General features: G+C 37.3%; 1 protein-coding gene across 3 annotated transcripts in view; it reads left to right on the top strand.

The window, feature by feature from the left end:
* The window catches only part of LYRM7 (LYR motif containing 7), a 34,485-nt gene extending 20,567 nt beyond the window's left edge, over positions 1 to 13,918 (top strand). For all 3 annotated transcript variants that reach the window (NR_121658.2, NM_181705.4, NM_001293735.2), the window contains one exon: positions 8,021 to 13,918. Coding sequence is in view for 2 of the 3 variants with exons in the window: in NM_181705.4 (NP_859056.2) it covers positions 8,021 to 8,091 (71 nt within the window). In the remaining variant the exon portion in view is untranslated. The remainder of the gene's footprint in view (positions 1 to 8,020) is intronic.

Raw genomic sequence — 17,653 nt, forward strand, 5'->3', positions numbered from 1 at the left:
AGTGGAAATTAAATTTTGAATCCCAGCAGGAACTCTTTATCTTAAATAATTTCTCATTTTTAATTTTTTTTAAAAATCACTTCCAGACATCTCTTAAAAGGAGACACACAAATGGCCAACAAGTATATGAAAAAATACGCAACATCACTTATCAGGGAAATGAAAATTAAAACCACAATGAAATATCATCTCACCCCAGAGAGAATGACTATTGTCAAAAAGACAGAAAATAACAAATGCTGACAAGGATGTGGAGAAAGGAGAACTCTTATACACTGTTGGTGGGAATGTAAATTAGGATAGCCATTATAGAAAACAGTATAGAGGTTCCTCAAAAACTAAACATAGAACTATTGCATGATCTAGTAATTCCTCTACTGAGTATGTATCCAAAGGAAAGGAAATCACTGTATCCAAGAAATAGCTGCATTCTCATGTTTATCTTGGCACTATTCACAATAACCAAGATACGGAATCAACCTAAGAATCCAGTGACAGTTGATTAAAAAAAATGTGGTGCATACACACACACACACACACACACACACACACACACACACACACACACACAATGCAATATTATTCAGCCATAAAAACAAGGAAATCTTGTCATTTGTGACAACATACATGAACCTGGAAGACATTATGTTAAGTGAAATAAGCCAGGCACAGAACGACAAATATTGCATGTTCTCACTCATGTGGAACCTAAAAAAGTTCAACTTATAGAAACAGAGTGCAGATAGTGGTTACTAGAGGCCAGGAAGGGTCAGAGGGGGATAGCTAGAGGTTGGTTAATGGGTCCAAAATTACAATTAGCTAGGAGGAATAAGTTCTAGTGTTCTATAGCACTGTAGGGTAACTATAATTAACAATTTATTGTATGTTTTCAAATAGCTAGAAGAGCAAATTTTGAATATTCCTAACACAAAGAAATGATCAATAAGGTCATAGATATGCTAATTACCCTGATTTGATCATCACACATATACATGCATTGAACTATCACTGTACCCCTTAAATATGCATATATAGTATGTATCAATTAAAAATAATAAAAGGAAAACATTTACTTCCTTTATCCTTGCCGGTGAATTCAAGGTTCTTTATTACAAGCATAATTTTATCATTTGAAATAATTCCTTATTTTTAAAATCTTTAAAAAATATTTTGGAAACTATTTTTCTTTCCAAATATTTTCTGCTCTATTTTTTGTATTATCTCAGGTGCCTGAATTTGTACAAATCATAATTTTTTATTCATATCATTCATCATTGGTCTAGCATAGCCTTTAACTATGAGTTAGAAAAATACTCAGGTTATTCATTATTCTATACTTGCTGTTTTATTATTAACATTTGTCAAAACCCTCTTTCTAATGTGGATATTAGTCGCCTGGTTTCAGTGTTGGCCTTTGACAAACATATATATTTTCATTCGTACAAATTTATGATAAAGATGGTCCCAAGAAAACCCAGGACTTCGGGTCATTATTTTTTACGGTACTTAGTTTTTTAATAGGATCCATATTTTTTAACTTCCTCTCTGGCATATATGTAAGAAAAAATAGGGATGTACTTCTAAACGAACGATACAGTTAAAAAAACAAAAAGCTCCAAGAAGCTGTTCTTTAGATGTATTTTAAACTTCTGCCTTTTGGTTTATTTAGATTTGTCATTGTCTAAAACTATCTTATGGTTTGTGTTCTAAGACATGTTAATGTGACTCAACAAACATTGAATCGCTGTTATGCTAGACGCCAGGGATAGAACAATGGGCAAGACAGATCTGGTTCCTATCCAGTGGAACTTAGAGTGCTGTGTAAAAGACAGGCAATTAAATGTACAGCTACAGTTCTTGGAATGCCAGGATAGGAGGCAGAGACTGCTGAGACACATAAGCAGAGCTACAGATCCAAACTTGATGAGTTAGGGACAGGTTCTGGGAAGAAAACACTTTTGTGTTACAGTTTCCCTAATTTGAAGTCATCATTTATATAATATACATAATGTGCTTGAAATATTTAGAAGTATTTCTGGAACTTCAGTGTGAAATATTTTAATGTCCTTTAAATTATTTGGATTCCAAATATCTCTGTGATTGTCACACTATTATAAACTATGCTATCCATAATAATTTATTTTAAAATCTTTACCTAAATTTGTACTTTGGTCCAAAATTGAGATAAAGACTTTATTTCAAGGAATTGCTTTTTGGCCGGGTGCGGTGGGTCACGCCTATAATCCCAGCACTTGGTGGGAGGCTGAGGCACGTGGATCAACTGAGGTCAGAAGTTCAAGACCAGCCTGATCAACATGGAGAAACCTCATCTCTACTAAAAATACAAAATTAGCCGGGCATGGTGGCACATGCTTGTAGTCCCAGCTACTCAGGAGGCTGAGGCAGGAGAATCGCTTGAACCCGGGAGGCGGAGGTTGCAGTGAGCCGAGATTGCGCCATTGCACTCCAGCCTGGGCAACAAGAGCAAAACTCCGTCTCAAAAAAAAAAAGAAATTGCTTTTTATTGATATATCTAATATGACCAGAGTAGATAAGGCGTTTCAGGGGCCTGAAGTACAGGAAATAAACCATGATCTCAATGCAGTTCCTTTTTAAAGATCTGGCAACATCAACAAACTAAGGCTGTTATAGTACTCAGTATCTAATGTGGAAAGCAAAGTCAGGGATTTTACAATCTATAAGACAAAATTATAATAAAAACAGTATATAGCATATAAATATAGTTGGAGTGCATTTGACCTAATTAAAGTGTTAACAGTTAATGAATACAGAAGAATTCAGTTGTAAAATATCTTTTGATGCCAAAGATTATCCAATAAGGTGAATTGGGTAAAGAAGTAAAATAGTGGATATTTGACAGGTTTTCTGGGAATTTACTACTCTTCAAATAACGCTGCTTTGTTTCAAGACTTCCAATCTGCCTGAATTCTAAATCCCTAAGACAGAACCTAGAGAATTTAAGTTCCTCTGTTTCCTTTGTAGCTCAGGCACAGGCGTTTGATTAGGTGAAGCACACTCACTTGTATTCAGCACAGAATCTGTTTTGCTGGCAGGAGTAGCATCAGTGGTTTCAGGATCAAGTTCCTCATGGAGAAGAGAAGTAGCATTGGTATGGTGGCAAGAGCAGACATAGTAAGGTTGAGTTTCTGGCAACATCCGAAGTGTAGCATCTTGTGTTCCATGAGGGTAAAAATGGCAGCATTTTTTTCTGGCACCCCACGAGAGAGCAGCAGTTTTTATCATTAGCCTATTTCTGTGGTATGGCTTTGGTCATTGTTTCTGGAAGCTTAGTCTCAAGCCTGCCTGGTTCTGGACAATTTGAAACAACCTGTTTAATGCCTTTCCAGCTTCTAAGCAGCCAGAGGCTGCTTCTGTGACTAGTAACAAAGACCAACAGTTAAAGCTTTTATAGTCCACTTCCTGGTGATATGAGTTAGGCAAAATAAAATTGGCCGGGATCGCTGGCTCACACCTGTTATCCCGGCACTTTGGGAGGCTGAGGTGGGCAGATCACCTGAGGTCAGGAGTTTGAGACCAGCCCCCTGGCCAACATGGTGAAACCCCGTCTCTACTGAAAAATATAAAAATTAGCCAGGCATGGTGGTGGGCGCCTGTAATCCCAGCTACTCGGGAGGCTGAGGCAGGAGAATTGCTTGAACATGGGAGGCAGAGGTTGCAGTGAGCCGAGATCACAGCCACTGCACTCCAGCCTGGGCGACAGACAGAGCAAGGTTCTGTCTCAAAAAATAATAATAATGATAAATAAAATTGAAAAAGAGGTTGAATGCAGATTAAGCTAGCCCACAAAGCAGAGATAGAAAAAAGTATTACTTTGCTAAAAGGCACAATTCTGTCTACAGCCTAGAGTCTAATTGATTAAGAGTCCCATAATTTAGAGCCTTGGAGAGTTAAAAATGCTAATTGTTCTTATCCACTAAAACTAAAGCCAGTACAAGCAGGGAAATTCTGAGCTGTAACATGAAATAAGATCGATGCCTCAAGACTTTCTCATTCTTCCAGACAAAGATTAGATATATGATTCATTTACTGACTGGAACTTACTATTCTTCATTGCTTTAAGAAGTGGCCCCTAAGGTAAGGGTTAAGGAGATGGGCAGAACGTAGAGGCTGCTACCAAAGGATGACAGTCTTCATCCTTATTTTTCTGTGGCTACTTGTGCATGGAAATGACTGGAAACCAATTTGAAGCTTATAAAGTTTTTGAGTGAATTGTATTGCCAAGAAACTCCAGGCCTGGCTAGCTCTTTTCACCTCTTAAGGCCACCCCTGGGCCCCTAAACTCCTATCACCAGGAAGTAGACTATGAAAGCTTTTAAAGCCCCAAAGAAGGGCATCTTCCCCAGTATCTCCACCTTAGAACAATGAGGCTCAGCAGGACCTAATGGAAACACTAGCACTGTAACCAAACATCCTTGATTTCAGTCTAGATGAGACCTGAGGGGACAGGTAGTGAGTGGATGTATGCTACAGATGGAAAGAAGGATTTATATGCATTTTGCATAGCCAAAGGGGTTGTGCTTGTTGCCTCTCCAGTATCTATTCTCCTGTTCTTTTTTTTTTTTTTTTTTGGAGATAGAGTGTCCTTCTGTCGCTCAGGCTGGAGTGCAGTGGCACGATCTTGGCTCACTGCAACCTCAGCCTCCCGGGTTCAAGCGATTCTCATGCCTCACACCTCCTGAATAGCTGGGACTACCGCTCGGGCAATCCAACCACCTCGGCCTCCTAAAGTACTAGGAGTATAGGTGTGAACCACCGTGCTTGGCTTCTCCTGTTCTTTTTTACTAACTGAGAAATTGTGTTCAGGGTGCAATGTACCAAGCAAAAAAAAAGTTATTTTCCAGACCATGTGACACCTTTCTGGTCTATATAAACCGTGTCTATTCGGTGTTACTTCCAAGAAAGTCATTGTTTTCCTGTTTAAAAGGAGCAGGCTGAGCTGGCACTCTCCTTTTGCCCTTTTCTCTCTTCTTCCCATCTGGAGTGCAGATGTGATATGACAAGCAGCAGTGAAGACAAAACCACTCATGGAAGGTAGCAGAACAGGAAGAGAGAAAGAGCCTGGGTCCTTAGTATCACTAAGGACAAGCACTAGCCCAGAACTGCCTTAATCTGTATTTCTTTTTTTTTTTTTCCGAGATGGAGTCTAGCTCTGTCGCCCAGGCTGAAGTACAGTGGCACGATCTCGGCTCACTGCAACCTCTGCCTTTGGGTTCAAGCGATTCTCCTGCCTCAGCCTCCCTGGTAGCTGGTGCCTGCCACCACGCCCAGCTAATTTTTGTATTTTTAGTAGAGACAGGGTTTCACTGTGTTGGCCAGGCTGGTCTCGAACTCCTGACTTTGTGATCCGCCCACCTCGGCCTCCCAAAGTGCTGTGATTACAAGCATGAGCCACCATGCCTGTCCTTTAATCTGTATTTATTGATAATGTGAGAAAAATTAAATCTCTTACTTATTTAAACCAGCTTTTGGACTTTGGTTATTCAGAACTGAACATACTCTAAAGTGATATGGGTATATTTAACCATTTATTTTTCCATTCTCCCATAAAAGTCTTGTTCCACTTTTGTAACACATGACATTATACTATAATTTGTTGTTTATCTAGCTATCTTTTCCATTAGATTGTGAGTTTCTGGAAGCTGAAGAGACTATTATATATTCACCTTCATATCTTAATTTCTTGATGTAATGTCTAGCATGAAATAGGCACATATAGGTTTGATAAGTGAAACAAATTATTGCCATTGTTAACAAGTTAAAATGCACACTACAATTTATTCTCTGATGAAATCTCCATAGGTTTGGTAAAAGCAAGTGAGATATAAACAATGGTTAAATAATACTTATTTAACTGGTTTTCATTTCAGTAAGCCAAATTTATCATCTGGCTAATAAGAGCACTATTCTTAGTCAGACCAGTTCTTTCTTAATTAAGTGAAATATTCAGTTTGCCTTTTGGGTTGAATTTGTTTTAGTGTTGTCTTCTGTCTTTTTTTTTTTTTTTTTTTTTTGAGAGAGAGAGTCTGTCTCCCAGGCTGGAGTGCAGTAGCATAATTATTGCTCACTGTAATCTCAAACTCCTGGGCTCAAGCAATCCTCCTGCCTCAGCCTCTTGAGTAGCTAGGAATACAGGTGTGCACCACCATGCCTAGCTAATTTTTAAACAATTTTTTGTAGAGACAGAGTCTCGCTGTGTTTCCCAAGCTGGTCTCAAACTCCTGGCCTCAAGCAATCTTCCCACCTCAGCTTCCCAAAGTGCCAGAATTACAGGCATGAGCCGCTGCATCTGGCCACTGTGTGTGTGTGTGTGTGTGTGTGTGTGTGTGTGTGTGTAAATATATATATTTTTAAAACCTTTTTATTTTGAAATAATTCAGATTTACAAAAAAAGTGCAAAAGTTGAAGGGTATGAGAATTTCCTTTACCCAGATTCTACAAATGCTAACATTTTACCATATTTGCCTTATTGTGTTTCCCTCATTTTTTTTTCCTGAACTTTCTGAGAGTAAGTTGCAGACATAATGCCTATTTACCCCAAATGAACATTTTTAGAATTATGACAGCCCATTTGGGTCTAGATCTCCTGGAGAAATACCTTAGAGTATATTTTTTTAAGATACTTCAGTGTGTATTTCCTAAATATACAAGGACATTCTCTAATGTAACTGCAATATAATGACCAAAACCAGGGTATTAATATTGATGCAATGCTATCATTTAATCTTTCCATTTGTCCTAATAATGTATTTTATGGCAAAAGGAAAAAAAATTCCCTGTGGACCAGTATCCTATTGGGGATCACACATTGCATGTAGTCATCATGTCTCTTTAGGTATCCTTAATCTAGAGCAGTCCTTCAGTCTTTCTTCGTCTTTCATGTCCATGATGTTTTGAAAAGTATAGGCAGGTTATTTTGTAGAAGGTCGTGCAAGCATTTTTTGATTGATAGCTCATCTAGGTTCAGCTCTTCTGGAGAAAAGAAGAAGAAATCAATGTATCTCCTCAAAAATTTGGAATTTTTTTTTTTTGAGGTGGACTGCCACTGTGTCCCCCAGGCTGGAGTGCAGTGGCACCATCTCGGCTCACTCACTGCAACCTCCGCCTCCCATGTTCAAGCGATTCTTGTGCCTCATTCTCCTGAGTAGCTGGGATTACAGGCATGCACCACCACACCCAGCTGATTTTTTTTTTTTTTTTCAGTAGAGATGGGGTTTCACCATGTTAGTCAGGCTAGTTTCCAACTCTAGACCTCAAATGATCATCCCTCCTTAGCCTCCCAAAGTTCTAGGATTACAGCCGTGAGTCACCACACCCGGCCAAAAATTTGTATCTTAAGAGCTTTATCTTAACTCCAGCAAGATGTCTTACCTAGGACTCAACAGGTTTTTGTTGTTGTTTTATGATATTTCTCAATGTGGGCACTATTGGCATTTTTGACAGGACAGTTCTTCACTATGCCAGACTGTTCCACCCATTACAGAAGGTTTAGCATCCCTGGCTCCTGCCCACTAAATTCCAGTAGCATTCTCCAGTTGATATGACCACACAAAACACCCTCTTTTAAGAACAATTGTTATTTAAAATTTAGAATCTTTAAATTAGGAGACCAGTCTTGCTTTTCATATAGTAGATAGTATAAGCAAAATTTCCAGTTGTTTTCATTATCAGTAATTGGTAATTAAATGACCAATAATAGAAGTTTTAGCTGAATTCTCTTCAGTTATTTGATTTGCTATATTTAATGATAAAGGGTTAAGTGGATCATATATGTTTTTATATAATCTGAAATGAGAATGCTATTAATTCTAATTAGAGTCAAGGATGCCACCTTAGATATCAACTGAAATAAAATATCCCTGGAAGATTTATCTTAAAACTGGATATTTTACTATTTTAAATTTTAGGGGGAAATGAGTGTCCTTGCATTTAATTCTAATTTTAGTGATGTTAATTATTCTCTTTTTTTTTTTTCTTTCAGAACTGGTCCCTAGGAAAGACCTTCTTGTAGAAAATGTGCCATATTGTGATGCACCAACTCAGAAGCAATGAGTTTTCTAGAATACAACAAGTCTTTGTACTTTTTAACTTTAAAATCTACAACTCTGGCAAAAGTCCTGGAAATGCAGACATTTTCCCTGAACTGGCATATTGAAAATGAATGAATTACAGAATAGCTTCATATTTAAATTTCATGTTAAAAGGTCATTACTGAGAACTAAAGAACATAATTAAGTATTTCTAAAGGAAATTAGATAAGAAAACATTTCATTTTCATTGAAAATCAAATTTCATAAAGCAAAGTAAATGCTTAGGGAGATATATTCAATCTTTGACCTTGATGAGTATTTGATCTTACCATAGCTATTTGAGAATGTGGTGCTTTTACAAATTGGTGAGTTTTCCTGCCATGTGAAATGCAATTATTACATTTAAATTGTTAGATTAAAATGATATTTAGTCCTGAAAAATATTAAATTGGTCAAAAAAATCACAGTGTATGCCAGCTCTCTACAGAAAGTGGCCTTTGTTTTCTAAAGCACTGGGATTATTTCTGTAGCTAATATATAATTGTACAGTTTCTTTTTAGAGATAGAGAGTATCTCTGTGTTCTTATGAAGACATTTTTTATCAGTTTTCTGAAAATAGATGAATAAAATATTATAGTCACCTAGGGTCACTATGGAATAAAGAAATCCTAGTTTAAAGAGGAAATAGTGGCCCTTGATCAAACTATTTAATATGGCCTTAGTAGAATTAGCTGTATTTAGACAAAGTTAGACTTTAGTGTGAAATGTAATCGGTGGCTACATTCTCATCGTTTTAATTAATGAAACTTAAATGGCTTCTCTTCTTCCACATGTCCTGTCCTTGACAAGATGGGCAGTATCACAAAAGGTCCTGGCATTCTACCATCTAACACTAGGAACTGTAAAATACTGTTTAATATTCTTCTTGTTTCTCTTTTATCTGTGTATCTTTGCCATTCTATTTTCTCAGTGAATAGTATGTTTTCTCCCATTCACTGATAAATTCTCTCATTTGATGATGATACAGGGTTTTTAATTTTTGCAAGATTCTCAATGCAAGCATTGTTATGTATCTAGAAATTATACCTAGAGAAAAATGAAAGTCGTTTCAAATTTGAAATTTGCCCTTTTAAGAGAATGCTGAATGTCATCGCAGTATATAATCACTATATAAATGTGCTGACTTACAGTTATTTTAGTGTCTATATGACATATTTTGAGGAAAGTTGGCTGACGTTATTTAAATTTAATATATATTCTATATTTTAGTGTTATTGAATATTTTATCACTGAGCTTTTTTCTTTAACCTGAATTCCCTGTTCCATTTTTCATTCATATTAATTTAAATAACTCCAGATTTCTTTCTTATAGTCATTATTAGTAGCAGATGAGATTAATAATTCACATGTTTATTAAAGATAGTGGCTTAGAAATTTTAAGATATATTGATATAGGCCCGGGCGCTGTGGCTCACACCTGTAATCCCGCACTTTGGGAGGCTGAGGCGGGCAGATCACAAGGTCAGGAGTTCGAGACCAGCCTGGCCAATGTGGTGAAACCCCATCTCTACTAAAAACACAAAAATTAGCCAGGTATGGTGGCGGGCGCCTGTAGTCCCAGCTACTCGGGAGGCTGAGGCAGGAAAATCACTTGAACCCGGGAGGTGGAGGTTGCAGTGAACTGAGATTGTGCCACTGCACTCCAGCCTGGGGGACAGAGTGAGACTCTGTCTCAAAAAAAAAAAAGAAAAAAAAAGGAAAAAGGAAAAAAAAAAGATATATTGATACAGATAGGTAGATATGATATTGTACTTTCATGCCATAAGACTACACAATAAAGTTCCTGAAAGTTCCTGGCTGGGCGCAGTGGCTCACGCCTGTAATCCCAGCACTTTGGGAGGCCGAGGCAGGCAGATCACCTGAGGTCAGGAGTTCTAGACCAGCCTGACCAACATGGGGAAACCCTGTCTCTACTAAAAAAAATACAGAATTAGCCAGGTGTGGTGGCACATGTCTGTAATCCCAGCTACTCGGGAGACTGAGGCAGGAGAATTGCTTGAACCCAGGAGACGGAGGTTGCAGTGAGCCGAGATCGCACCATTGCACTCCAGCCTAGGCAACAAGAGTGAAACTCCGTCTCAAAAATAAATAAATAAATAAAGTTCCTGTGAAGTATATAAACATGTCAACAACAGGCTTGACTGTCACAAAATTCTGAAAGATGTCGCACTCTATTCTTATATAGCATATGCTAATTTATTTATTTATTTTTTGAGATTGAGTTCTGCTGTGTCACCCAGGTTGGAGTGCAGTGGCATGGTCATGGTCCACTAAAGCCTTGACCCCTGGGGCTCAGCAGTTATGCCAACTAAGCCTCCCAAATAGCTGAGACTAGAGGTATGCGCCACCACACCTAGCTATTTTTTTTATTTTTAGTAAGGACAAGGTCTCATTATGTTGGCCAGGCTGGTCTCAAATTCCTGAGCTCAGTTGATCCTCCCACCTCAGCCTCCCAAAGTGCTGGGATTACAGGTGTAAGCCACTGCACCCTGCCTATTCTTATAATCATATATTTATATTTCAAATGGATTTTAACTGGTTATTTAATAGTTTAATTAGATAAAGTAATTCATGGCTGGGTGTGGTGGCTCACGCCTGTAATCCCAGCACTTTGGCAGGCTGAGGCAGGTGGATTACCTGAGGTCGGAAGTTCGAGACCAGCCCAACCAACGTGGAGAAACCCCATCTCTATTAAAAATGCAAAATTAGCAGGACATGGTGATACACACCTGTAATCCCAGCTAGTCAGGAGGCTGAGGCAGGAGAATTACTTGAGCCAGGGAAGCAGAGGTTGTGGTGAGCTAAGATTGTGCCACTGCACTCCAGCCTGAGAGAACAAGACTCCGTCTCAAAAAAAGAAAAAAAGAAAACTTTTTTACACATGGGTATCTCACCATGTTGCCCAGGCTGGAGTGCAGTAGCTATTCATAGGCACAGTCATAGCACACTGCAGCCTAGAATTTCTGACCTCAAGCAATCATCCTGCCTCAGCCTCCTAAGTAGCTAGGACTACAGGTGCATACCACCATAACCAGCTTTAATTAAATGTTTTTTATTTGGTTATTTTTTTTAAGTTTTCTGTATTCACACAAGGGGTTGCCCAAATATAATTTTGCTTTGACTATTGAGATCTAGTGAAAGTGGGGTATATGAATTCTAATTGCAAATATCCAGGCTCAGAGGCCCAGCAGGACTTTCTAACACAATCTTTTAGCGGAAGTTAGAAATGGTATATAGCAGGAGAGTCAGATTTGAGAAGCATATGTAGATTCGAAGCTGGGGGAATATGGCAGGTAGTTTGTACAACATCTAATTCAGAACATTAAAATTAAGATTTTAGTCAAACTGTGTTTAAGTTAGTTCTTATTTTCCTGTAGATGCATCTCACAGCATCAGTACAATACCAAAAAAGCACACAAGAATAAGAATATGTGGAATTTCTATACCTATTGACAAAGCACATAATTTAACCATAAACACAAAGCCATAGGTCAACAAAGAAATGAAGATTCCAGTTCTGAAGGTGAGTTTTCTGAAGCCAAAGTGGATACATGCAAAATTAATATAGTTTTACTGTATATCAGTTGTCACCAATCAGAAATGGAAAACAGATCCTATTTATAATTGCAAACAAAACTGTAAAATAGACTTTTTAAAGTCTGGGAATAGACTTCTAAAATAAGCTATAACACTTAAAAAGGAGAGATATACTATGTTCCTAGATAGGACAATTGAAAATTCTGGAGATGACAGTTTTTCAAAAATCTATTGAGGCCAGGTGCAGTGGCCCATGCCTGTAGTTCCAGTACTTTGGGAGGCCTAGGTGGGTGGATCACCTGAGGTTGGGAGTTTGAGACCAGCCTGACCAACATGGAGAAACCCCGTCTCTACTAAAAATACAAAATTAGCCAGGCGTGGTGGTGCATGCCTGTAATCCCAGCTACTCGGGAGGCTGAGGCGTGAGAATCGCTTGAACCCGGTAGGCAGATGTTGCAGTGAGCCGAGATCGCACCATTGCACTCCAGCCTAGGCAACAAGAGCGAAACTCCATCTCAAAAATAGAAAAAACATTTATCGAAATCCCAACAAGTTGACAAATATATCCACATAAAAATATAAAACTTCTGTATTCTGTGAAAGCTACTATAAATAAAGTTTAGAGAAAGTTATTTGCCACCTATGTCATGATTGAAATAGTTAATTGATCCTGTGAATCAGTTAGCAAAACATAACTCAATGGAAAGATAGGCAAATGATACAAATAAGAAATTCACAAAAGAAGAAATACTAAGTCTCTAGTGATGAGAGAAATGTAAATTAAAATGAAACATGTTTGTTCATCAAGTTGTCACAAGTTAGACAATCATATCCAATATTTTTAAAGGTTGTAAGACTATAAGGAAATAGCCACTGTCATATCATTTTTAAAGGAATATAAATTATAGGGCCTTTTGTTTCTTTGGGTTTTTTTTTTTTAGAGACAAGATCTCTCCGTGTTGTCTAGGCTGGACTCAAACTTCTGGACTCAAGCAATCCTCGCAACATCATTAATAGCTGAGAGTAGAGACTTGAGCCACCACACCTGACTATAGGGCCTTTTTGAAAGGAAAATTGACATCATCAAAATTTTAAATATATTCAGTCTATTTCTCAAAAACTCAAAGAATACTAATAAATGTGTACTCAGGTATATGTACAGAAATTGCTGTAACATTATAATTTTAAACAATTTAAAACAGACTGAGTTTCCAAAGTTAGGGTACAATGAAAGAAAAGGTGGCTTATTTATACTCTGGAATATTTTCCAAGAGTTGAAAAGGATGAGGATACACACACACACACACACACACACACACACACACACACACACACACAGTTTGGGTATCCCTAATCCAGAAATTCAAATGCTCCAAAGTCCAAAACTTTCTGACCCACCAACATGACTGATGCTCAAAGGAAATGGCCACTGGAAGATTTCAGATTTTCAGATTTGGAGTGCTCAACCAGTAAGTATATAATGCAAATAATCCAAAATACAAAAAAAAAAAAAAAGAAATCTGAAACACTTCTGATCCCAAGCATTTCAGAAAACGGATGTTCATTTGTGTGTGTGTGTGTGTGTAAGCAGGTGTTGCTAGAAATTCACTTATATACAAGAAAACTTTTTGTGTACATATTTGCATATATATGTACAAATGGGTAGAAACGATACATGATTAATCTTAATCGGGAAGGAAAAGAGATTTAGGGAAGGAAGCAGTAAGTGAGAACTTTTATTCTATTTACTCCTGCACGTTTAAATATTGTTTACAGTGAGTATATCAACATGTAAGTGTTAAAAGACAATAAGCTACTAGTGATTTTTAATATAAAATTAACTATAAAATATTTTAAATATTAGCAAATAATATAGCACACTCATGAACCTAATTCCCACATTTGATAGTTGTTACATTTTGCCATGTTTGTTTAAAGGTCTAAGTCATAAAATCTTATAAAGCTAAACCCCACCCTTCTCTTTCTCCTCTCTCTCCAGGATAATTACTGTTTTATAGTTTGTGGATATCATTCCCTTACTTGTGTTTATACTTTTACCAAGTGTGTATGTATTCAAAAAACAGTTGTTTTGTGATTTTAAAATGTAAATGAATGGCGTTATGCTCCATGTATTCTGCAACTTTTCATCATACATTAGGTTTTGGCGATTTAGCCATAATTTGGCATGAATTCAGGTCTTTTAAGTTTTATTCCATTGTAAGAATAAACAAGTTTGTTCATTCATGTCTCCATTGATGAGTGATAGTATTGTCTCCAGTTTTTTTATGTTGCAAACCAATTTGCAAAAAACTCTGGCACATAGATTTTTACACCCAAGAAAAAGTTTACCTGGACATACACCAAGGAGCAGAACTGTTGAGTCCTAGCGTATGTGCATATTCAGCTTTTCCAGAAATTTCTAAATTGCTCTTTAAAATAGTTGTACCAGTTTACATTCCAATCGACAGTGTGTGAAAGGTCCCATTTCCCCACATCCTCACTGTTATGTATGATTTTTCTCATTGTCAAACTAATGGATATAAAATGGTATATTGTTTTAATTTGCATTTCTTAATTACTGGGGAGGCAGATCATCTTGTCATATGTTTATTGGCCATTATGGTTTCCCATTATGAATGTGTGTCTCTATCTTTTGTCCTCTTTTCTCTGTTGGGTTGTCTGGCTTTTTCTAACCAATCCTTTATATATTCTGGATACTAGTCCTTTGTTAATTATCTTTTTCCAATATGTGGCTTGTCTTTTAGTTTATGATAAACTTGACTGGGCTAAGGGATGCCCATATAGCTGGTAAATATTATTTCTGTGGTGTCTGTGAGGGTGTTTCTAGAAGAGATTAGCATTTCACTTGGTAGTCTCAGTAAAGAATGTCACTCTCACCAATGTGGGTGGGCATCATCCAAGTTTTTGAAGTCCAGACTAGAATCAAACGGATGAGGAAGGTCAAATTTGCTCTCTCTGCTTGAACTAAGACATCTATCTACTGATATCACTGCTCCTGGTTCTCAGGCTTTCAGGCTAAGACCAGGACTTACACTGTCAGCTCCCAGTTCTCAGGCCTTTGGACTCAAGCTAAATTATGCCACCAGTTTTCCTGGTTCTTCAACTTGCACATGGAAGACTGTTAAACTTCTTAGCGTCTATAACTGTGTGAGCCAATAGCTTTAATGGATTTCCTCTATCAGTCAATACATAGGTATAAATATACATATATCCTATTGATTCTCTTTCTCTGGAGACCTTGACTAATAACTATGTTGAAAACAGAGTAGGTTTGTTAAGACAGAGGAGTTCTGGACATGTCTTGATTGAGATGTTTATCAGATATCGAAGTGGAGATGTTAAAAGGACATTGGATATAACATCTGGAGTTCAGTACGTGATCTGAGCTGGAGATATAAATTTCAGATTTATTAGCATAGATAAAATACTTAAAATCATGACATTGGGTGATATCATCAACAATCTATTATAGATAAGAAGAAAGGTCAAAAATTAGGTCCTGGGGTGCTCTGATGTTAACAGATTAAGGGAACAAGGAGCAACAAACACAAGAGACAGAAAAGGTAAGGTAAGGATGAATGAAAGATAGGATTAAAACGAGGAGAATATAGAGCAAAAGTTGGCAAACTATAGCTCACAGAGACCAAATCTGACTTGCTGCCTTTTATTTGTTTACATATTGTCTATGGCTGTTTTCACACTGTAGTCAGTACAGGCAGAGCTGAGTAATTGCAAAAGAGATTATAAGGTCCTCAAAGTTTAGAGTTGCTATCTGGCCCTTTACAGAAAAAGTTGGCTAATCTCTGGTATAGAGTCCTGGAAACCAAGTTTCATTGAAGAGGAAATGATACCCTTTGCCAAATGCTACTGAGAGGCCAAGTAAGATTTAGATTAAAACTTGCCTGTTGGATTTAGCAACATGGAGGTAACTGATGACTTTGGCAAGACAGTTTCAGTGAAACAACTGGAGAGACTCTGAAGGCTCATGTTGATTTTCCCCCAAATTAATCTCTACATTGACTGTAATTGCAATTAAAATTCCAGTAAGATTTAAGGAACTAGTAAAACTCAAAAATGTATGAGGAATAATAAAGGTCCATAAATAGCTAAATCAGTCATAACAAAGATTAAAATTAGGTCTCCATATCCAAAAAAACTTTAATCCATACCTCATACCATACCCAAAAATTAAATAAAAATCAATATTTAGAACTAAATGTAAAACCTATGTGAACCCCCAAAATTTGAGACAGGTCTCAGTTAATTTAAAAAGTTTATTTTGCCAAGGTTGAGGATGCATGCTCATGACACAGCCTCAGGAAGTCCTGATGCTATGTGCCCAAGGTAGTCAGGACAAAACTTGGTTTTATACATTTTAGGGAGACATGAGACATCAATCCATGAGAGACAAAGGCAGCATTCTTTTGAGTTTCTGATTAGCCTTTCCAAAAGAGGCAATCAGATATGCATTTATCTGAGTGAGCAGAGGGATGACTTTGAATAGGATGGGAGGCAGGTTTGCCCTAAGCAGTTCCCAGCTTGAATTTTCGCTTTAGCTTAGTGATTTTGGAGGCCTAAGATATTTTCCTTTCACACCTAAAACTACAAAACTGCTTGAAGTAAACGAGAAAAATCTTTGTGACCTTTTTTAGGAAAAGATTTTTTAGATACAATGCTAAAAGCATAATATATTTTTAAAAAACTGAACTTCATAAAAATCTTTTGCTCTGTAAAAGTAACTATTAAGAGAATGAAAATGCAAGCCACAGACTTTGAGAAAATATTTATAAATTGTGTATCTGATAACTTTTACCCACAATATATAAAGAACTTTCAATAATAAGAAAACAACCCAATTTTAAAAATAGATAAATATTTGAACAGACACTTCCTCCAAAAAGATACTTAAGTGGAAAATAAGCATATGAAAAGTTGTTCAACATCATTAGTCACTGGAAATTAAAAATTACAATGAAATACTACTATATACCTATTAGAATGGCCAATATTAGAATGGCTGACCATACCAAATGTTGGCAAGTCTTATGCCTCAGCCTCCTTAGTAGCTGGGATTACAGGCATATGTCACCACACCTGGCTAATTTTTGTATTTTTAGTAGAGATGGGTTTCACCATATTGTCCAGACTCATCTCAAACTCCTGACCTCAAGTGATCCATCTGCCTCGGCCTCCCAAAGTGCTCAGATTACACGCATGAGCCACCACGCCCGGCCTGGAATTTTCATAAATTGGTGATGGGAATGTAAAATAGCAGAACAACTTTGGAAAACTGTTCACCTTCTTTCCTTTTTTTTTTTTTTCTTCTGAGACAGAGTCTTGCTTTGTCACCCAGGCTGGAGTGCAGTGGCACAATCTCAGGTCACTGCAACCTCCACCTTCCGGGTTTAAGCAATTCTCCTAACTCAGCCTCTTGAGTAGTTGGGATTACAGGTGCATGCCACCACACCAGGCTAATTTTTATTTTTATTTTTATTTTTTGTATTTTTAGTAGAGACAGAGTTTCGCCATGTTGGCCAGGCTGGTCTCAAACTCCTGACCTCATGATCTGCCCACCTTGGCCTCCTAAAGTGCTGGGATTACAGGCGTAAGTCACCGTGCCCGGCTGTTCAGTTTCTTAAAAAGTTAAACACATACCTCACATATAATCCAAATTTTCTACTCCTAGTATTTACCTAAGAAAAATGAAATAATTTTCTATACAAAGATTTATTTATAGTAGCTTTATTTGAAATGGCCAGAAACTGGAAACAACCCAAATATCATCAACAGATGAAGGGATAAATTGTGATATATCCATACAAATCCAAACCATGGAATACTTCTGAGGAATAAAAAGAAACGGCAGTAGCTACATGCAATGTCATGGATGAATCTCAAGATATTTATCCTGAGTGAAAGAAACCAGACCAAAAAAGAAAGGTGTATGTATATTGTATGACTCCCAT

This window comes from Homo sapiens, chromosome 5, assembly GCF_000001405.40.
Source record: "Homo sapiens chromosome 5, GRCh38.p14 Primary Assembly".
Classification (NCBI taxonomy): domain Eukaryota; kingdom Metazoa; phylum Chordata; class Mammalia; order Primates; family Hominidae; genus Homo; species Homo sapiens.